The 21,455-nt window shown below is 42.4% G+C and overlaps 1 protein-coding gene and 1 long non-coding RNA gene across 5 annotated transcripts in view, besides 2 other annotated features; one reads left to right on the forward strand and one right to left on the reverse strand.

The window, feature by feature from the left end:
- Nucleotides 1-1,608: 1,608 nt before the first annotated feature.
- Nucleotides 1,609-16,191, reverse strand: ERRFI1 (ERBB receptor feedback inhibitor 1). Of its 4 annotated transcripts, NM_018948.4 has the most exons (4): nucleotides 16,040-16,191; nucleotides 5,377-5,574; nucleotides 5,190-5,266; nucleotides 1,609-4,278 (listed from the first exon to the last, which is right to left on the reverse strand). In NM_018948.4, the coding sequence occupies exons 2-4, from the start codon at nucleotides 5,499-5,501 to the stop codon at nucleotides 3,092-3,094; spliced, it is 1,389 nt and encodes a 462-aa protein (NP_061821.1). In that variant the 5' UTR covers nucleotides 5,502-5,574; nucleotides 16,040-16,191; the 3' UTR covers nucleotides 1,609-3,091. The 4 variants fall into 4 exon arrangements, with proteins under 4 accessions (NP_061821.1, XP_047278654.1, XP_005263534.1 ...); XM_047422698.1 differs by lacking the exon at nucleotides 16,040-16,191 and having other exon boundaries at nucleotides 5,377-9,955; XM_005263477.4 differs by lacking the exon at nucleotides 16,040-16,191 and having other exon boundaries at nucleotides 5,190-5,282; nucleotides 5,377-5,573.
- Nucleotides 16,007-16,106: a silencer, noted in NCBI's record as "silent region_190". NCBI's record gives its function as "represses an Ori minimal core promoter by ATAC-STARR-seq in GM12878 lymphoblastoid cells {active_cell/tissue: GM12878}" and the evidence as "EXISTENCE:reporter gene assay evidence [ECO:0000049][PMID:35858748]".
- Nucleotides 16,227-16,276: a silencer, noted in NCBI's record as "silent region_191". NCBI's record gives its function as "represses an Ori minimal core promoter by ATAC-STARR-seq in GM12878 lymphoblastoid cells {active_cell/tissue: GM12878}" and the evidence as "EXISTENCE:reporter gene assay evidence [ECO:0000049][PMID:35858748]".
- Nucleotides 16,375-21,455, forward strand: part of ERRFI1-DT (ERRFI1 divergent transcript) — a 100,578-nt gene continuing 95,497 nt past the window's right edge. Inside the window, exons 1-2 of the long non-coding RNA NR_185980.1 lie at nucleotides 16,375-17,303; nucleotides 19,109-19,239. This is a non-coding gene — a long non-coding RNA (ERRFI1 divergent transcript). The remainder of the gene's footprint in view (nucleotides 17,304-19,108; nucleotides 19,240-21,455) is intronic.

Raw genomic sequence — 21,455 nt, forward strand, 5'->3', positions numbered from 1 at the left:
CAGTCAGCAGGGACTTACTGCACCCCTGGGTCAGGCAGTGCGTCATGACAGTGCACAGGAAGCTGAGTCCCTGCGCTTGGGGAGCTGTCCCTCTTTGGCCAGGGTGCCGCGCACACGGGCCTGCGTGATCTGGAACTTAACTGTTTCTACTACTCCCAGGTATCTTTTACTGTTTTTCTCCATCTCCACTGGCCAAGGCAGTCTTGTCTCAGTTCAGGACTACAGTAGCCTCTGTCCATTAAGTCTTCCCGTTTCCTTTTGCTTCTCTCCGATCTGTCCTCCACACAACAGCCACTGTCCTCTTAAATCACATCACCTTCCTCTCCTGCTTAGGATCTTTCAGTGGCACCCACTACACTTTTCCAGGCCCCTCCTCCTCCTGACAGCCACTTTCTGGAAGCTGCTCAGCTGTTTCCTACTTCAGGGTCTCACACATTGTCTGCTTCCTCCACTGGTAACATGCCTACCTGTTCACTCCCCTCCCTCAGCTTCCATTCTAACCCTTCAGAGCTTAACACCTCACAGGTCCCATTATCAGTCCTCATTGCTCCCATTGTTCATTACCTTTTTATTTAGCACTTAATATAAGATGTAATCATAATTAACATTATCTGCTTTAAATTCCATAAGGGAAGGGGATGTGTTTTCGCAGGATCCAGCATGGGGCTGGGATTTAACAAATGTCTGTTGACTGAACGTCCCAAGCCTGCATCTTCATCTGTAAAATGCCATAAATGACACCCAGCCTTTAGATGACAAAAACAGTTCTCATGTATGGGGCCCTCACTATGTACCAGATAATATAGTTTATATGCAGTTGTCACAAAATAATTCCCACCTCTCTGCCCATTTTACCAATGAGAAAACTGAGCTACAGGGATTTAAAATAATCTGCCTCACACAGAATTAGAAAGGGATGAAGTTGCAACTTCAACCCAGATAATTTGAGCCCTCACTCTTCACTCTGGAGAGTGGCAAGACAGTGCAGGTGCCCGATGAAGGTCGTGGAGGGCTCCCACCCTCTCCCAGGGGACAAAGGAGCCTGCAGAGGACAGTGAAGAGAACCAGGCACAGGGCTAGGTGACATGGGACTAAGCCCCCTCACAAAGAGCACTCCAGCCCCTGCCTCCATCCAAAGGCTGCCAGGAGCCCATTTGTCCACTGTGGACTTGCCATCTCCATGACAGGCCAAGGCAGGTGCAGATTCCTTGGGTGGCCTTAAGCAAGAAGCAAAGCCTGCCAAAGGGCCCAGAGTAACCGGGACCTCGTCCTAAAAATCAGAATGAGTCAAACCAAGTCTACACATCAGAACTGGTTTCTTCTGTCACGTTCTCCTTGATGTGGACTCCCACCCCCAACGTTGTTTCTGATAGTAACCCCAGAATCCAGTTCTCTTTCAGTTGTTAAAGGTAAAAACAAACAGCTCATTTCCACTGTATACTTTCATAATATGTGAAAAAGATTGCACAAATTATGTTTCATTCTAAAGAATAAGAGTTTCAAGAATACATTAAACTTCAAAGAATCTTCGCTTGTGCTTAAAAATAATGCTGTCAAATTGCTTCATACACTTTATAAGACTTTAGGCAAGAAACATTACTAATGGTATCATAAATAAGTATTATAACTTTATTAAAATGAAAAGACAATATTCAAAATAATGCAACAAAATGAATAAAATCCTTTGTCCAATACTGTACACATAATGCAGAAATCAGTGCATTTTTCTTAAGCATGTTTTAACCTTCATTTAGTTCATACTAAAATATAATAAGCTTTAAATAGCTCAAATAATATTCAGCAGTTTAAACTGTAAACAGCTTGTTTAACTGTTAAGAGAACATTGCAGTAATGTACCTCTGTTAGTGAGCACCTTCTCTTCTGTGCTTATCTCTTCAAGATAAATACATGGAAGGATGTGAAAATCGGAACACCAACTATGTGTCTCACTGCATCTAAGTGAAGCAGCCACAGCTGTGAGAGTTTTCAAAGCAGAAAGATGCTGATGTGACCTCTGGAATTCAGACATACTGAGCTATGGGTCAGAAGTGTTTTACTTAAAAAGCAAACAATCCCCAGGAAATACTGAATAGGAACCAGCAACACAAGGCCAGCTTGTGTTGTATGTTTATTAATACAGTCTAAAAAAAAAAAGCAAAACCACAACACACATCCCCAAACAATAACTCTCAATCACATAGCTAATTGCTTCATTATTTTGTAAAACTGACATCCTAACACTGGCACCTAGAATACTTTTCCATCTGAGTCTAACGTACCCCACTGCCTCTAATACGGCCCGCACTACGATGAGCTACTTCAGTGGGTGGGACCAAGCAGGAACTGTAAGGGAAAATTAGTCACTAGTTCTATTATCGTTTTATTTTTCAAGATGTGTGACAGGTACAGGTGACAATATGGTTGCCAAGTAACCTGCTCTCCCTCCCTCAACAAGACGCAACATGAAACCTGGAAGTATGAGGCCTTGGTATGATTTTTAACCTAAGCAGGTACACCCATGGTAAAGAATGGATACCCTGCCCTCCATGGAAAAGATTGCCTGCAAAAATAAATGGAACAAAATAGAAAAGGCCTAAAAGCCAGAAATCTTCAAACTTACTAAACAAAAATATTTTTTAATGATTCTGATCTAAACAATACTGTATCTTCTTCCATTTGCTCAATTTTCAGTCTATCAGGACTCATTTCTCCAGCTTGAGTTTATTATTCTGAATATATATTACTCTACGATAGTAACTAATTGGTTAACCTGCAGCTATGGTCTATGGTTATACCACAAGTTTATATATAGGTATGTAATGTATGCATATATAAAAAGCTTCCCCATCCTCCCCTCCCCACCATCACATCTTTAAATTATAGACTTGTAAGACTTTTTTCCAACACTAACAAAGTCAGGGTTTCTCAGCATAACAGCATCTCACAACTGCTCTAAACCTTCCACATGAAGACAGAGAGTTCAACTATTTTATTTTGCAATCTAAGGGATTTTTCTCTGCACTTCAATCAAACTGGAAAATTGAGAACCATTTGCTCCTATGTAACCTCTGCTGAACCATGACCCCAAGGTCTAAGGAGAAACCACATAGGATAAATGTTTACGCTTCACGTGGCCACCCAGATCCATTTTTGTTTTTGAGTCTGGCTTTTCTGTGGCTGAAGATATACCGCAGTCAGCAGGTAATGGCTGGATTTGGGCGCCTCCATTTGTTTCTTCTGCTTCCCTAAAAAATTTTTCATATTTGTCCAGGTATGGTGGTCGTTCAGGTAGTAGGTAATAATGTGTTGAACTAACCTTCTTCCCATTTTCAATAATGGGCAGAATGCAAGGAACCTTACTGGCAGATCCTTCGCTGTTCTGTCTTTGCAGTGCTTTGCTGCTGACATACTTGGGATCAGGGGCAAAGCTCTGTGTCGGGGGCATGACCCCATTGAGGTAAGACGGAAGGCTTTTGGGACTCGGTGTGCGCGAGTTACTCGGTGACAAAGGTTCTCTTGGCGGTACTTTGGGAGGCCTGTCTTCATCACTATAGGTGCTCGAAGTAACTTCTGCTGACCATCTTCTATAATCTGGCTTTACTGGTCTAGGAGGTATGGGAACTCTGGGGGGAACCTCAGGTTTGTCTTCATCGGAGTTAGGAGAAGCTCTGTGTATACAACAGTTGGATATCCTTATGGCTGGCTTGTTAAAGGAGCCAGCTGGTCCCGAATGAGACCTTCTTAATCTTCGGTGGGTCTGAGGTGGAGGAGGATTTGGATCTGGGACACCTCCATTTTGGTCAGACACATAGCTGAGATCTGCTGCAGAAACAGCTGGGGTATCAAAATATGCATAGTTGATTTGTCCACACCCACGGAAGCTTCGCCTGCCAGGAACATCATATTTGAAATCAGAAAGTGTAGAGTCTTCTAAAAGGAAGTCTGTATCTGAGCTAGTTAGGAATTCCACCTCACAGTCTGTGTCATCCAGAGAGAGGGCTTCAGAGATTGGCAACGGTGGAAGAGGCCTAGAACCCCGTTCACAAAGAGGGGCACAGGGGAAAAGGGAAGGGGAGTTTTTTATGGGTGTCAGTGGAGGGGTGGAAGCACAAACCCCATTCACTGTGAGTTTCTTAAAACCACATACAACTTGATCCTCTTCATGTGGTCCCAAGTTTTCACTTGGGGGAATAAGAAGAGGGGGCAAGCTGGACTTTTGAGATGGACCATTTTCTGCAAAGCAGTGGCCATTCATCGGAGCAGATTTGGAAGCATGCCCTGGAATGAACGAGAGATATTAATAAAAGATCAACAATCCTCTCTCCACCTGTGTGAGGGAGAGAGCACCCCAGCTACCTATGCTTCCACAGCTTTCTTCCTGAGTGAAACACTTGACTGCTGTCACCCCGAGAACACCCATGCAACCACCACAGGTGTAATTAGAGAGCAGAAGATTCTTAACGCACATGGTGTGGTTCAAAGAACAAACTATCTCCTCTATCTCCCTTGGACATGTGCACAGCGCACACCCACACATCACAGGCAAGTTTTGTGACGTGTGTAAAATTCGCGGAAGATGAATAGCATATAATTTACATGAATACCATACTGTACCAGCCTTGCCATTTAAGACATGCGACCATACTAGGCACGTAGGGTACCAATGAGATAAGACAAAGTCCTTATTGCTGGCACATCATAATATTGTGAGTGAATGGACTTGCCTGCAATGTGTTCAGTTCACACACAGCTCTTGACAAAGATCCAAGGAACAGAATATTCACATTAAAAATACTATTTTTTAAGTTTTGAGGAACATTTATACTATTTTCATCTATTACTGTCAAACATGCATTCGATACTAGTAAGAAAGGTGGGAAATCTCGCCTAAGGTTTCATGAAGTAAAGTATGCATCAGAGCTGGAATGAGAACTAATTCTTGATTTTAGAAGATCCCACGTCCATGAACAGTCCTACTTAGCAATCAGTGACTCAGAATGAAGGCAGTCGAGTACAATAGCTTGAGAAAAACACAGTTATCTTCTGAATCTGTTGCCACTAGGGGTCAGGCTGTTGTTGGAAATAGTTCAGGTTTCCTCATTTAAAAAATAATGCTGGAGGACAAGCTAACCCGAATCCAGACTGTTCTTCTCAAATGCTTACTGTGATCAGATTTTCAGAATACATACCAAGTGGTATTAGGCGCTCCTGAGCAGAAGAGTTCAGACTGTAGGCCATGGTTATCGGGTCAATATTTAAAAAGTTGCTGAAAGGAGAGGAAGCTACTTTGGTCATAAGCGAAGAGCAATCACAGCCTCTCCCATTTTAGTGTCACATATTTATCCAGATTACAGCAGCATTACATCCTCTACTTACTTTTTAAACTCACTGCGACTGCTCCAGTAGGTCTTCCTCATATTCCCCATGGCTCGGCCATTATGTAGAAATCCAGTTTTTAATGGGACTCTGATCTCCTGAGCAGCAACTCCTGCTATTGACATTGTGCCTTATTCTGGGACATCTCCAAACCTGTGAGGCCCAGGCACTTTAAAATCAACCAGTAGCTTTCATTCCCTGGGAGGTAGAAGAGATGAGAGAATAAAGAAAACAATTCAGAAATACCTCCATTAGGACAGTCTAAATTACAGCAAAGCTAACAGAGGATTTGGGGGATGCTGAATAGAAAAAATTAGTTGTAGACTTTCACTTAATTCTCACAGCTCGTGAGGGTACTTATATGTAAACACTAAAAATGATTTTTTGTGTAAATGCTAATCCAAAAGACATGAAATGTTTTAGTGAAATGAGAAATAATCTATTGCCAGCAAAAGCAGACCTCCTACTGCACAGCCTGAGAGTTGCACAACAAATCACACTCACTTGGCAATGCACACAGACCCTCCCCTGACTTATTAAACCAGCCTTCTAAGTTACGGCTGCACTGGGCATGAAGCACCAGTGGATCCTGCTTATTTTTCCCAAGCTAAAAAAGTAATTTCAGAAGCCACTGTATTTTATGCTGTAGAACTAATACTCACTAAAACACAATGCTGAAACTAAGCAAGAGTTTCTACAGTATTGGCACCTGACTACCCCAGGGTCTAGCATTTATCTGGATTTTGTATTTCAGGGTTGGCCATGGGGAGACAAATTCTCCAGTTACTACTTGTTCAAGGAACAAACAGTAATATATGAAGATACTAATTTCCATTATCCTGTAAAAATCAAGTTCTGCAAGATTACTGGCTTCAGTAAAAGCCTGGGACAGCTTCCTCCCTCCCTTTTAAAGACAAGTTAAAGGTACATTCTTTACATCCTCCTTTGTGAAACACCCAGTAACTCATATCTTGCTTAGCTGCAAGGCATGGATAACAAAATAAGTACATTTTTCTTAAATTAGTAGTTCCTCAACTTCAGGACCGCCAATCCCCTTTGTCAGATGTTACAGGTCTGGAGTCCCTATAGCCCCCTTTTCACTTTCCTTTTTTATTATTCGTTATGTGTTAGTCAGCATCAATCTCTGCTGTCTTCAGATAGCCAAGTTTATTTATAAGTTTAGGTTTTTTTCCTTAGGCACCAGGATATTATTTGTCAACTATTGTGTAACACTGACCCCTTTTGGGGGCACGTACATATACACTCTTTAACACGATCTCATTCTCTCACTAAATATTAGTAAGGGATCAGTGCAAATAATATCTGCACAGCTGAGTGCTGGGCACTGTGCAAAGGCTGGGCACTGTGCAAATGTGACACATTTGCTGTGGGGGAGAGGTACACAGGTTTTTTTTTTTGTTTTTTTTTTTGCTCAGCAACTTCAAATCTATTATTTACAAATCTGTCACCTCCTACTAGACTAAGCTCAGGACAGAGGCTGTGTCTCAATCACCTTTTAACAATCAGTACCTGGAACATTAGTAGGTGCTCAGTAAGTGAATGTTTGCTGAATGAATGATTGTATAATACCATCTAATTATCATAATCAGTATCAACTCAATATACACATTGTGTAAGGCACAGGGTTTTTTTTTTTAAAGCTAAAAACTTTTAAAAAATACTCTGCAAGTGTTTATTATTATTTTCCCATTAGAAAGGAACACAGTGATAAGTAATGTTCTACAGGTTCAAGATTTCAGTAACAAAGTAGAGAAGGGAGATCCAATGACTGGTTCTCTGCATTTTACCCTTCCACAGTCAGCTGTTCTACCAGGCAGAGATTTTATGATAGGGTTAAAATATTATTTCAGATAGTCAAGCATTATTTTTCTTTAAATCAATCTCTCAAATATATGATAAAGAAAACATTGTCATTTAAGAATTCTAATTGAGAGGTCTTTTGAGGATTGGTTTTTCAGATTACTTCAATGAAGCAAATGTGTTATCTACCATCAAGCTATAAAAAATTTAGAAACCAATTTAAAAATACTGCTAGCCTCTCCCTCTGTGTACTTAGCCCAGTGGTTTATCAAGCTTTTTCTAAGCATTCTACAAGCACTGGCAAGACTATGAGGAAAGTATCTGTGGTAATATAAAAATGAAAGGCAAGATAGGAAGAATATGGTATTTAAGTAGTTTGAAAGCACACGTTTGAAGATCGCTCATCCAGATTACAGGAAAATGCTGCAGGGGATTCTGCAGGCCCAACCCCCACCTGTCTGCAAGCCAACAAGTACTACTAGTAATTACTGTGTGTCAGCCTCCTAATGCCATCTAAATCTTAGCTTTCAACAGAATGATTGTGTAACTATCGCCTCTGCAGAAATTGCCTTGGAATTCTAAACTTACATTTCAATGGTCACTTAAAATTATTTATATGTTCTAGAAAAAGTTATTTTTTATTCATTGTTTCCATCACCTACTTGTTAGCTTTCTTAAGAAAAAAATTTTTTTAGTATAAAAAGAATTGTGTTCACTAAGCCAGCTCACTTCTGACCACAATAGTGTCTTTGTGTATTCATAGAAGGTGACCTGCCTCTAAATTTCAATGGGGAATTGTGAATGGGCCATGTTATGAAACTGTCCGAACTTCCTACTTGCTAGCATGGGAGACGAGGGGGGCAATATAACTGCCATGTTCTCTTCTTTTGGAAAATAACTTCAAACTGTAGACTCAAAAAGGGCAATGTGCTATAGGTTTGGAAGGAAGCTTTTAAAAAAAATGTTTCTCAGATTGTAAACTGAGGGTATGAAACCACCTGAAACTTTCTCTCTCTCTAAAAACCTTCTAGTATTCAGCACAAATGGAAGCGGGGGGCGGGGGGGGGGGGGGCGCGGAGTAAATAAATCCATTTTACCAACCTCAAGCTAAAAAGAAACAAACTCTTCCCAAGTGATGTTTAATGCCAATTTTTCACATTTTATCTGTCTTACAACTCATTAGAGGAAAACAATTGCAAAAATGTACCTATGTGGGGAAATCAGTATCTAAAAAGTACAAGATGGGATTATGTTATGGAATCCAAGAATAGGAAAGCGAATGTGAATCCAGACAGCATGGTTTAGACGGGGACCCAAATAACCTTCAGCATAACTTCTCCAAACTTCATCAACTATTTTTAGCTTTTTTAGTGGGTCTAAAATGCAGTTAAATACCAAATTTCAGATGTGAACCACCTTTTCCTGTTAACTTGATTCTTTTCTAAATTCAACGAAAAAAGAAGCCCTAAAATCATTTGCTTCTTGAGGTTATCCTTTTATTAATCCACTTGTATAGCTTCAACTCATAGACAGCTCCTGAATCAATGACTCCAGCCTGGCTCAAGCTTCAACTTTGCATTTCCTATTGTCTGGTGATTATCTTTCCACTTGGATGGCCCTCTGGCATCTCAAACTCTACAAACCAAACTCCTCCTTTCACTTCATACTCCATTCCCCACTCCCCAAACCAGTTCAGGGTCTAAGAGGATCACACTTCTCAAGGCACCATTTTTAACCTGAGGCCATGTACATTCAATTGCCAAGTTCCACAGACTACTTTTACATGGTTTCTCAAATCTTACCCTTCCATTGACAGGCATCATTCTTCCTGGGGTCTGGCAATATGCAACCTATTCTACAACACTAGTACCAAGTCAATATTCCTTAACAACAGCTCAAGCTAAGATTTGCTGCTGCTCAAAAAACCTTCAAAGGCTCCTAAATAAAACCTCCTCAGCCTGGCAATTTAGGGCCTCCACAATATAAACCTAATCTATATTTTCAAGCGCGCTTCTATTTTCCCCAAATCTCTGTTACAATTCGATTCATCCTTTAAGGTCAGCTCTACCCTGCCTTCTCCATGAAGCCGCTCCCTTTCATGAAACACTGGAGCAGCGGTGCTCTGTTCTTGTGTTATTTTGTGCTGGGCCCCAATTCCCCTTCCACTCTTCAAATCATCTAGGACAGAACTGATGTCTGATTTATGCTTTCCCCCTGTAGATCTTGGCATCATTCATGTCTATTATTTATTAAATGGATACTGAGAAAATATCCATCTCATTTTTAAAAAGTAATGACATGAAAGATTCACATACACTGTGAGTCAGTGAAGAGCTCAGGGGAGAAGCAGATTTATAAAGGATAAAGTTAATGCGTGCTGGAGTGAGGCGACTGCCCAATAATAATGTAACAACCTTAGGATATGTAACAGGAAGGAATTTTTATGAAATTCATTTCCAGAATTCAAAGAAGACAGTTTGTAGACTGAGTAAAAATTATAAGCTTCAGTGGTTAACAGTGTAGCTTTCTAAACTGGTTTCTGTTACAGTATATTTACTTGAAGCAATTGGGGGGGTACTTTCTTAAAACAGTGTTTTGCCTTCTCTTAAAACACTATTCCTTCTAGACTGTGTTTTTGCTGCTGAATTTAAGGTGACTTTCATTTTTCTAAAAAAGTTACACCAAAAGCACACTGCACCTTCTTCATTAAGGTGAAATCATATGCCTTTAGCTTGAGGACAGTCTCTTTGAAACTGCTTAAAAAAAAAAAAAAAAGAAAAATGCAGGCTACCTTAAGGCAGTAACCTAGATATGCTTACCTGGCCACCAGATCTCATTAATAAATCTCAGAAGCCATCCATGGGAGGAGGAGGGGCACATTTTTGTCATACAACTCATCCAGTTCTGCCCAGTGCTTCCTTATTTAAGAGTGTGATGTAATTTCCTCCTTTCAATCTGGTTCTAGAACCTGATTTCTGTTTATTCAGGGTGATAAATGGTCTTTTCAGTTCCATTTAAGAATCACCTACATTAAGTACTTCCATAACCAAGGAAGATAATAAGGTAACTACATTTAAAGGCAAAATTTATAAAAGGAAACTGATTTAGGAATATGACAAACTCCATGATTTTAGATCCTCCCCAAATATACCAATCTCTGCATGTTTATTTTTTAAAATGTCTAAAATAATCACCTGTGAGGAAATTAAAACAAACAAACAAACAAAAAAACACCAATTTTTTTTTTTTTTTTTTGAGACGGAGTCTTACTCTTGTCACCCAGGCTGGAGTGCAATGGTGCACAGCACAATCTCCACCTCCCAGGTTCAAGCGATTGTCCTGCCTCAGCCTCCCGAGTAGCTGGGATTACAGGCATGCACCAACTCGCCAGGCTAATTTTTGTATTTTTAGTAGAGATGGGGTTTCTCCACATTGGTCAGGCTGGTCTCAAACTCCTGACCTCAGGTGATCCTCCTGCCTCGGCCTCCCAAAGTGCTGAGATTACAGGCGTGAGATACCACGCCCGGCCCAGATTTCATTTTAATAGCCTATGATTTAGGTAGGGGTAGGAAAAGAAAGAGGGAGGCAAGTTAAGAAAACTTCCTTAGTTGTACTCTCTACCATGGTAAGCATAAGTAGCCTTTAAATTAAAAACATAGATTACTTTTAAAATAATGCCATGTTTTAATGTAATTAAAATACTCCTGCATGAATTCAAGAAAAGCTTGATGGCTTCAGTAAACATTAAAATATAGTTCAGTGTGGCAAAGATGAACATTTGTGTCTGTGTTTGCAGCTCCATTCCTCAGAGGCTCTTAAACATGTCCAGAACATAATGGACCATTTGTAGGTGGTGAAATAGAGGCAACAGAGAAAATAATTTATCTTCAAACTGTCAAATAAAAAATAAATGACGTAATTTATTCAATAATTCAGAATGCTTTCTAGCTAAGTATTTTAAAAAATGGTAAACTAACAAAAAACCCATTCCCTCAACTACCATAATCCAGTCTTTCAACTCACTTAAGCCTCCCACACAATTTTAGTGTGACAGCAGAAAAGTAGGATAGCAGGAATACATTCTTTTGTCCTTTGTATTTCTCCTACAGAGTAGCACAATCAGTAACTATATATACACACAGAGGGGAGAAAAATATTATTTCTTTTTGACATATAACAATAGATTATTTCTTACTATAAAAGTGAATTCTAATCTAAAGACAACGAGCACAATGGTCTAATGATGGGACGCAAGTCTTTAAAACTTCAAATTTATTTAACAAGCATTTAAGTTACCCGATGGGTAACTCTAGATTGTTACAATTAATATAAAACCATTAATGATAACTAACATTCACTGGACATACAACTGCCAGGCAAGCATGGTTCTAAGTGCTTTATGTGTATGAACTCATTTAATCCTCTCTACAATGCCATAAGGTGGGCTACTATTATTACTCTCACTTACTTGAGGCACAGAGTTAAAGAACTTGCTCAAGGTCAAAACTGGTGAGCAATGGGGCCAGGACTTCAACTAGACAGCCCGGCCTCAGTGTCCAGGCCCTTCACCAACACACCACACTGCCTCTTCCTGTCCCTACGGCTTTTTAAACTGGCGAAGTAGGATCCGACTGACTATACTGCTCAACTTGTAAGGGTAGCACAGATCCTTTTTTATGGATTTACTGGTAATAGTTTTTCTTGGGTAACCTGTAGCCTATGAAAGTTCCTGTTTCACTTCAACTCCCTCAAATTCTCCTATTAAAAGTTATTAATTGTAGATCTGGCCTATGTATCCTCTAAAATGGGTGGGTTAAGGCATCAATTTGACATTCTATTACCACTTCAAACAACTATTTTGAAGCCCTCAGTCTTTAACGATCCACGGATGCCCCACCACAACAGAACTCTTTACAACATGGTTATTTCATATAACACAAGTCTGTTTTTACTCGTAATAAGCGGTTACTACATATACCCAACGGGCCTCCTTTTAACATGCTTTCACAGCATGGATCCCAATGATGGCATTATAATCACACTGTATTGTAAAATCCGGAATTTAACAATAGCATACCTTATATTTGTAAAGCACTCAACAAGTTACAAAGCACCTTCTTACACATTATCTCACTTGATCCCCACAACATCCCTGTAAGAAGAGGCAGGGATTAGAATCTCCATTTTGCAGATGAGGAAACAAAGTGAGGTTAAATATCTTGCTATAAGCAAAAGGGCGATCATGGCTCTTCTGTACTATAATCCAGCATTTTCCCCACACTTTCACTACCTCTCCACTCTATAGTATCTTCATTTTAGGCAACAACCTCATTTCTCCTTGTAACATTCTTGTTTATAAATGGAGAAACTGAAGCAAAAGGCTGTTAAGTTAAATGCTCAAGACCTAAGTGCTAGTCAATAGCAGAGGCAGGAACAGAAACTCAACTCATAGTGCTCATTCAGCTCAAAAATTCTTAGAGGGCAAGGATTAATTCTTTTCACAAATATTTATCAAGTGCTTATTCTGGATTAGACACCATGTGAGGTGAAAAATAGAGATGGCTGCTGCCTGAAGAAGCCTTCCATCTAATGAGGGAGGAAGAGAATAGCCAAGCAAGCAAACAATTTTAGATGGCGATACCTTCCAAGGAAACAAGCAGGGTACAGCAGCAATAGGATAAGGAGGCAGAGGAGCATATATTTACACAGGTGGTTTGGGAAGGCCTCTCTGAGTAGGTGACTTTTAAATGGAAATCTAAAGGCTGAAAAAGAGGCAGCCCTGATAAGAGTCAGAAGACAATTCTACTGAGCGAATAGTTGTTTAAAAAACAATCTGTAACTAGTCCAGTTTCACATCTGGGGTATTGAATAAGAGCTTTTGGATAATGTCTTCCAATCCTTACCTTCCTATTGTTTCCAAGTTGAAAAGGGCTCCATTTCTGTAGCCAAAGCCCCACATTTTTTTGTTTGTTTATTTTTTAAAGACAGAGTCTCACTCTGTCACCAGGCTGTAGTGCAGTCGTGTGATCTTGGCTTACTGCAACCTCTGCCTCCCAGGCTCAAGCAATCCTCCCACCTCAGCCTCCTGAGTAGCTGGGACTACAGACGTGTGCCACCATACCCAGCTAATTTTTGTGTTTTTTTGTAGTGACAGGGTTTCACCATGTTGCCCAGGTTGGTCTCATACTCTTGGGCTCAAGCCATCTGCCCGCCTTGGCCTCCCAAAGTGCTGAGATTACAGGCCTGAGCCACTGAGCCCGGCCAAAAGCCCCACATTTTAAAGACACATTCATTGAGACCTGGAAGAGTGGTCTTTTCGTAATATTGCCCAATTTTATGGTGTGAGGAATTGGACTACAGTATCAACAAAGACTTGAAATCTGAGAATCCTCCCCACCACCTTCTGAAATCTGAACCCCCCTCAGTAACTTTTCCCTATCTTAAAACTAATTGTTAAGGTAGTAACTTACATTTAGGACCCTCAAACTCATTCGCCTCATCTACCTTTACAAAGCACGTGTTTATGCTGTGTGAACAATGCCAGAATACCACAACTGGACTGCGTTTATGTAGCGAGTTCTTTATTAGCTTTTGTATAGCCAGACACCCGCAAAGGATGCTAAATGTATCCAAATGGATCCAGATGATGAGGTACCAATTCAAATTTATTTAGATCAAGAGCAGAGTTGTTTCTCTGGCAGAGGGAGCCTATGCCATTCCAATTCCTGGAGTTACCCCTGACACCTCCTTTCCTTCCTCTGCTCCTTTCTAAAGCAATCTGATGGTATGCAGACAATCAGGTCAGTTTCAAGCATGTTAGATTGTGCCTGTAATTTACGCAAATTGCTTTGAAAAGCCACCATTAGTTTCAGCAGAAAGGAAGTATTATCTAGCTCAACTTTTGAGAAGCAGCAGTCAAGAGGTATTTTCACACAAAAACTCAAGCATAATTAAATCTTATAAAGAGTGACCAGTATATATTGTGAACTGCAAGTAGGAAAACCGATGATTGAAACAACAGTTTTACCCGTCAAAAATATCAATAATTCAGGCATTTCATAACAGCCATAAAAAAATTAAACAGATTTGCTTTCCAACCCTTATCAATGACTGCTCCAATCCTGCTGAGCCTTAAAAGGTAAAACATGCTTTCATGCAATTATTTATCAACATCAACTATGTGCAAGGCTGCATAAGATAGAAGCTATACAAGGCAGAGTGCCTACCCTTAAGGAGTTTACAATCTAATATATCTGTCAGGTTATAAATCGTTAGTCTAAGACCTCTATCACTTATTATCGAGTGTCCCCTGGAACACACAGGTGAAAATAAACTTCTGCTTGAAGCAAAGGGAATGACAAATAGTTTCTGAAGTCCATGCTAAATCCTTTGTTATTTTTCTTCAAACTTGCTAATATCTGGAAAAGAACTTGCTTGATAACATATTGGTAACCAATTATAGCCAGCATGTTAGCAAGAAACCAGCTTCTTTTATTTTGGTCTTTGCAAAATTTGATCATTTGCTGATACCTAGCCTGTCTTTGGTCTCTGTTCAAATAAAATTTCACTTAAAACTGTATATTGTAATTACAGAAATATAAGAAAAGAAATGCAGTTAAAAAAATAGGTACGGTGAACTTGGGATGTTCAGTCTCAACAAATGTGTGTACCCACTGCATTCTTACACATTTATAAAAGGTTGAACATTTGTTCTGGAAGGGAAAAAAAGGGCATTTTAACCTCACCTTTCTTCACCCCTGACAGTTGCCTAGAAACCAGTCTTGCCCTACCTGTGTTGCAGGTGTACCTCAAGTCACCGACACATCTCTTTTAAAGCTACAGTCTCCATTCTGACTTAAGTTTATGACTAACCATCTATTCATATTTTTATCAGGTAAGAGACTGGTTTCTTTCAAGCAATGATGAAATCCTAATAAAGACTTAGCAAGCACTAATACAGCACCATTCACGGTTAAAGAGTCATCTAATTTGTACAGGGCTATGATATACATATAAATACACACACAAAATTCCCAATAAGCATTCACGTCTTGAACACATAATTTTGCAGTCCGATTCCATTCAAAGCCGTACTTAAGACACTCAGAGCAAAGAATCACGTTTCTAGGAGAGAAGGAAGAGTTCAGAACAGCTTAGACGAATTTTTAAATACTGATTTCGGCATTACCATCGTCGCTGTGAGATTAGGCAGAGGGAGCGGGGCTGACCGCCAGAGAACCGGTACCAACCACCGCAAGCAATCGCCGAGCCTCCCACCCCAGCTTTCAAGACAGGATTTACGGGTACACGGTGTGAACAAGACAACGCAACCCCCTTTTTACAAATAAAAAAAAAATCAAACAAGCCCCCAGGCCCGAAGACGCTCATCCCCGCCGGGCAACCCCGCGAGCGCAGGCTGCGGGACGAGGACCTTCATGCTCGCCGCTCCCGAACCCCCGTCCGCTCCTGCGGTCCCGGTGCTGCGGGGACGTATCCCGGGCGCTCGGGTGCATGGCCCCGGCCAGCCGAGGGGCCGCGCGACGACCACAGCCGGCGTGGAGAAGGCGGCGGGCGCCGGCACTTCGCGGCGTCCCCAGGCCCGGGCTGCGCCGCCGGGGAGGGTCCCGCTCTCCACACCTCAATGGGGAGAAGCCCGCGAGCGACCGGCCGGCCTCTCCCTCCATCCCAGAGACTCCGCGTCGCGGCGACCCTCCCCGCGCCCTCCACGCCCCCGCCCTCGCGTCGGGGAGCCGCCTGGATCCCGGCGCCCGGCGCGGGGCCCCCTGAGGGAACGGAGCGCTGCGTGGCCCTCCCCACCCCCTCAGCGCGCCAGGCCCCTTACCCCGGAGGAGCGGCGGCTGCCCCGCGGCGCCCTCCCGCGCATGTCCGTCCCGGCTGGCTCAGCGCCGCGGGCTCAGGGGCCCGGACATCGCGCAGGCGCCTCTTGCTGGCTCGCGCTCCCGCTAGCACTCTGCCTCGCACCGGACCGCCGTCGCCGCGGCTGCCGCCGCCGCCTCTATATATAGCATAGGCCGCCGGGCCGTGAGGTCGCCGCGTCCCGCCCCGCCTCCTCCCGCAGCCAATCAGGGCGCGCGCCGCTTAAAGGGGCGATGCCGTGGCCGAGGCGTTGCGCCGGGCCCACCGTGGCGTATCGCGGCGCTGCAGGGAGCCGGCTTTGTCTCCCGGAGAGGCGTCTCCGGGCTGACCGCGGCCGCAGCTCCGCTCCTCTGCCTGAGCCGTGCGGCAGCCCTGGGAGCCTCTCAACGCCGAGCTTTCCTCAGAAGCCCGCGGCGACCCGGGCCTCGGCCGCTGTTCCTGCCCGAACTGAGGGCACATCGCGCTTCGCGCGGGATTTCCCATAAATTCAGGCTCCGGGCAAGATTGTGTGTTTTTTCCTCTCCGCGGGCCGCCGCTGGCCGTGTGGGCCGAAGAAGCCCTGGAGGGGGAGAGGGGAGCCGCTCTCGACTGGGCTTGCGGCGTGGGAGGGACAGTGAGGGACACTTAGGGACTGTGTGGGGCAGTGAAGGATAGTGTGGGATGATGAGGGACCGTGTGGACCGGTGAGCGACTGTGTGGGACAGTGCGGGACGATGAGAGACGGTGTGGGACGGTGAGGGACAGTGCGGGACGATGAGGGACAGTGAGGGACTGTGTAGGACAGTGAGGGACAGTGTGGGACGGTGAGGGACTGTGGGACAGTGAGGGACTTTGGGACTGTGAGGGACTCGGACAGTGAAGGATGGCAAGGGACAGTGTGGGACAGTATGGGACAGTGGACAGTGAGGCACTGTGAGGGGCGGTGAGGGACAATGAAGGATGTCAAGGGACAGTGTGGGACAGTGGACGGTGAGGTACTGTGAGGGGCGGTGAGGGACAGTGTGGGACTGTGAGGGATGGCGAGGGACAGAGTAGGACAGCAAGGGAGGATGAGGGGACAGAGTGGGCCGGCGTGGGGCGGTGAGGCTACGCGGGGGGAACCCAGGGCTCCTCTGACTGCGTTGGAATATGGAGGAAAGGTCCTGCTCGAGGTTGAGCCCTTCAGGGTCGCTGTGGGTTTCCAGGAGGAGCTCCCTCACTACTGACTTAGGGGGCCCTCGGCTTCCCAGGTTTGTGTTTACTCAGGCGACCTGAGCTGGCCCCGACGTCTTTTGGCTTTGGAGAGGCCACGGATGCCCAAGGACAAAGCCCCAGCGGGCCTGTGGGAGGAGGTTTCTCGGGGCGCCAGTGATGCAACTTAGGCTTATAGTTTAACCGTAAAATAAATAATACAAATGATAACAAACCAAGAGTGACTAAAGTCAGAAAAAAAGCAAACAGACGGAAACCCTCTAGTTTTAACTAGAACAAATTCCCTGGCTGGTCCTCTGTTGGGAGAGCCCAGAGACCTGTCGCTGACCTCTAGCCTCCTGGAGCCCCTGCTTGCACTTCAGCAATAATGCCTGATAGTTAGACACTGATCACTAGCTAATTGGGGTAGTTTAACATATGGAATGAGATTCTGGCCTTATTATCAGGTTAACTATTAACTCTACACCCCATGAAATGATTTGCCTTTCCCCCACTATTATTTACTTACATTCTTTTTAATTTAATTCAAAGGCCTAATTTTGAATTCAAGGCCTTAAGCACGAAAAGGAAAAAAAAAAGAAAAAGAATCTGAAGTATCTTTGCCCTCTCTCACTTGCAAAACAAACGAACGTTTTGCAGAGAGAAATCTGGCTTCCTTTCTGATGGCTCTTCTGGCTTACAAGGGGCTGTTGGGTCATTTTCATGCCTATGCCATTTGTCAACAATTCAGTTAACCTATCTTCTTACAGCCATTCATTTAGTATTATTTTAGGATGATGGAAATGAGTCACAACTAATTGCAGAGTTCCTTACCAACTAACTAGGTTTTTTGATCCAAAGAAAATCTGTCCCGATTTTCCTCCCATTTTGGCGTCATTTATGTTTGTGGCTTACCCATATGCTGTTATCAGTGTAAAAAAAAGATGAGTGTGAGAACTTGCCAGGGTACATCTTTTCAAACCTCACGGGACAGGATTTACTGAATGGGCACCTAAAGGAGCTCAAGTTTCATCTGAAAGGAGCCCTGGCTATACTATTTCAAGTCACTACAATACAGTTGTAATTTGTGCTTCGGCCTTATTGGCGTGCTTTTACATTCCCCTATTCATAAAACAGTGATAATCACCAGAGCAACCATCAAACACACCCCTTCTTTAGAGAAAGAAGATCAACAGGATACTCACTCTACAGTTGTGAGCTGTATGATGTGCTAATGTTTTGGTAAATTATCAAAAATCATAAAATCCCATGAGTAATATGTGATTAATCTGATTTTTCTATTTTAAACAACTTGCAAAATAAACTTGATTTATTCATTTTTTGGGGAAAACCTGTTTAGCCACTAGTTTGCTGTGTTTAGCTTGCAGTTATATAATATGGCTTTCTCAGCTGTGGAAGAATTACATGAGAAGACTTACACCCCACAAATTTTTTATCTAATAGTCTGTTAATGATGTGTTATAATAACATTGATATGTCAATAATATTGTAGGACATCTTGGGAAGAGTTTAAAAGCAAAACGCTAAGCATCTTGAAGTAATACTAGCATGTTGTGTTTATTAAGTGATTATTCATTGACCTTTAATAGATTAGAACACTACACCAGAGATTCGGGGAAATAGTCTCTTTTTCCTGAACCCAATTTGTTTTAAATTATCTCCAGAAAAGCATGACATTTAAAGTAAGACAGTGTTTTTTATATCTCTCACAGTCTGCTTAATTTTGAGGCCATTTTCCAAGGAATTTATATTAGTTGATTTTTTTAATAGAACTCAACATCTAAAACGTTAGACTTGCATCACATTGACCCAAATTGTCACTTTTCACTTGCCCTTCTTTCAGTGTAAGAAGAAGCTGTCTTTGGAGTGAGAACAAGGGTGAGGTTCTGGCTCAGAAACCTTAGAATCACAGACACTGTTTTCCTGAAAACATTGCTTCTTTCTCTCATCTCAAAGAAATGCCACAAGTCGTGTGTAAGTATAACATGCTGGACAGGTCCTTATTAAATTTATATTTGTATTTTGATATTATTTTAATCCTGTAGAAGAACATATACATTTTGGTGTTTATTCTTCTTGATTATAGAAGTTTTTGTGTTTCTACTTTGTTTATAATAAATATTTTAAAGTTAAACACATTTTGTATGTCCCTCTTGGTCCTAGAGCCTTTGTTTCTGTCTATACATAATATAAATGTATATTATGCACTTAAACTATTTTATAGATAAGTGTGCAATAAAAAAATACAACCAAGAGAGGAATTACATTTCCTAGAGGGTGTTTGCTTAGTGTGCTACATTGCATTTTGGGAACATTCATATTTCTGTTCATGGATGTTTCCAAAACGCATGCATGTACACACACACACACACACACACACACTCAACATATAAAATAAACTCTAGGTGATTCTTTTCATTTTTTTGAGACGGAGTCTCACTCTGTCCCCAGGTTGGAGTGCAGTGGCGCCATCTCAGCTCACTGCAACCTCCGCCTCCCGGGTTCAAGCGATTGTCCTGCCTCAGCCTCCCTAGTAGCTGGGACTACAGGTGGGTGCCACCACGCCCGGCTAATTTTTGTATTTTTAGTAGAGACGGGGTTTCACCATGTTGGCCAGGATGGTCTTGATCTCTTGACCTCATGATCCGCCCGCCTCGGCCTCCCAAAGTGCTGGGATTACAGGCTTGAGCCACCGCGCCTGGTGAACTCTGGATGATTCTAAAACACACATGCTGATAAGAGCCTAGATTCACCCATGAGGAGTACCACAACCCCAAAGAGATTTCCATGGACTTTTCACTTTTCAACCTTAGTGGCCATTTGAAAAGTAGCACAGAAAATATATTTCTTGGCAACATTTCATTTTTCCTTTTTCTGTTTTTTTGTCTTTTTTGTTTTGTTTTGTTTTTTATTTGTTTTTTGAGACAGAGTTTTGCTCTTGTTGCCCAGGCTGGAGTGCAATGGCGTGATTTGGGCTCACCGCAACCTCCGCCTCCTAGATTCAAGCGATTCTCCTGCCTCAGCCTCCCGAGTAGCTGGGATTATAGGCATGCACCACCACGTCGGCTAATTTTGTGCTTTTAGTAGAGACGGGGTTTCTCTGTGTTGGTCAGACTGGTCTTGAACTCCCGGCCTCAAGTGATCTCCCTGTCTTGGCTTCCCAAAGTACTGAAATTATAGGCGTGAGCCACCATGCCCAGCCCATTTTTCCATTAGTTAATTAGGGGTACTGCTCTCCCTTCCTAGTTTTTCCCCAAAAAGGATACTTCGCCTGTGGAAGTCTGAGCAGGTTGGTTTTAATTTCCCAGTCTATTATTTTAAGTGTTAGGGCCAGGGCTTCACTGCTTTTTCTTAGTATGAGTTTTAGACAGGCTGTTCGCGTAGTTGTTTATTTTTAACTGAGCTACCTTTCATTTACCAAATGCTCTCTTAACATTAAATGCTATTGGTGGTTATTATGTTTCTAATTCTATCCCATCTTTAAAATGTGTAACTGTTGTAAATTTTTTAGTCTTGTGGATACATTAATTAATTAATTTTTATTTATTTGTTTATTTTGAGATGGAGTTTCGCTCTTGTTGCCCAGGCTGGAGTGCAATGGCGCAATCTCAGCTCACTGCAACCTCCACCTCCCAGGTTCAAGCGATTCACCTGCCTAAGCATCCCAAGTAGCTGGGATTACAGGCATCCACCACCATGCCCAGCTAATTTTTAGTATTTTCAGTAGAGACGGGGTTTCACCATGTTGGCCAGGTTGGTTTTGAACTCCTGACCTCAGGTGATGCACCTGCCTCGCCCTCCCAAAGTACTGGGATTACAGGTGTGAGCCACCGCGCCTGGCCAAGTCTTATGGATACATTAATTTAGATACATAATCTAGATGTTTACAAGACAATTTTTCAAATTTCTTTTAGACGCTAGCCTGACTTTATTTTCAAATTATTTAAACATTTAAGCATTTTCTCCTAAGTAAATGCTGTATTTCCTATTAGCTGGCCAGTAGGGTGTGCTCTAGTCCCTTGCCAAATTAATTAATTAATTAATTTAAAATGTTAATATAAACTCTTCATTGAGAGATTTCAGAAATATATTTCACTTCTTATTGACACTGGTCACATATGAGATATGTTTATATAGATGCAGGTATATGCAGATGCAGGGTATAAGGAAAGTAACACTGCTATATTAAA

This window comes from Homo sapiens, chromosome 1 (assembly GCF_000001405.40).
Source record: "Homo sapiens chromosome 1, GRCh38.p14 Primary Assembly".
In the NCBI taxonomy this organism is placed as follows: domain Eukaryota; kingdom Metazoa; phylum Chordata; class Mammalia; order Primates; family Hominidae; genus Homo; species Homo sapiens.

Bases quoted from the DNA above. Each gene is read 5' to 3' on its own strand.
- ERRFI1 (NM_018948.4), bottom strand. From the start codon at position 5,501: ATGTCAATAGCAGGAGTTGCTGCTCAGGAGATCAGAGTCCCATTAAAA. The intron at 5,267-5,376 runs GTAAGTAGAGGA...CTCTCCTTTCAG, and splicing joins AGTCGCAGTGAGTTTAAAAA to CAACTTTTTAAATATTGACC. The intron at 4,279-5,189 runs GTATGTATTCTG...CGTTCATTCCAG, and splicing joins GGAGCGCCTAATACCACTTG to GGCATGCTTCCAAATCTGCT.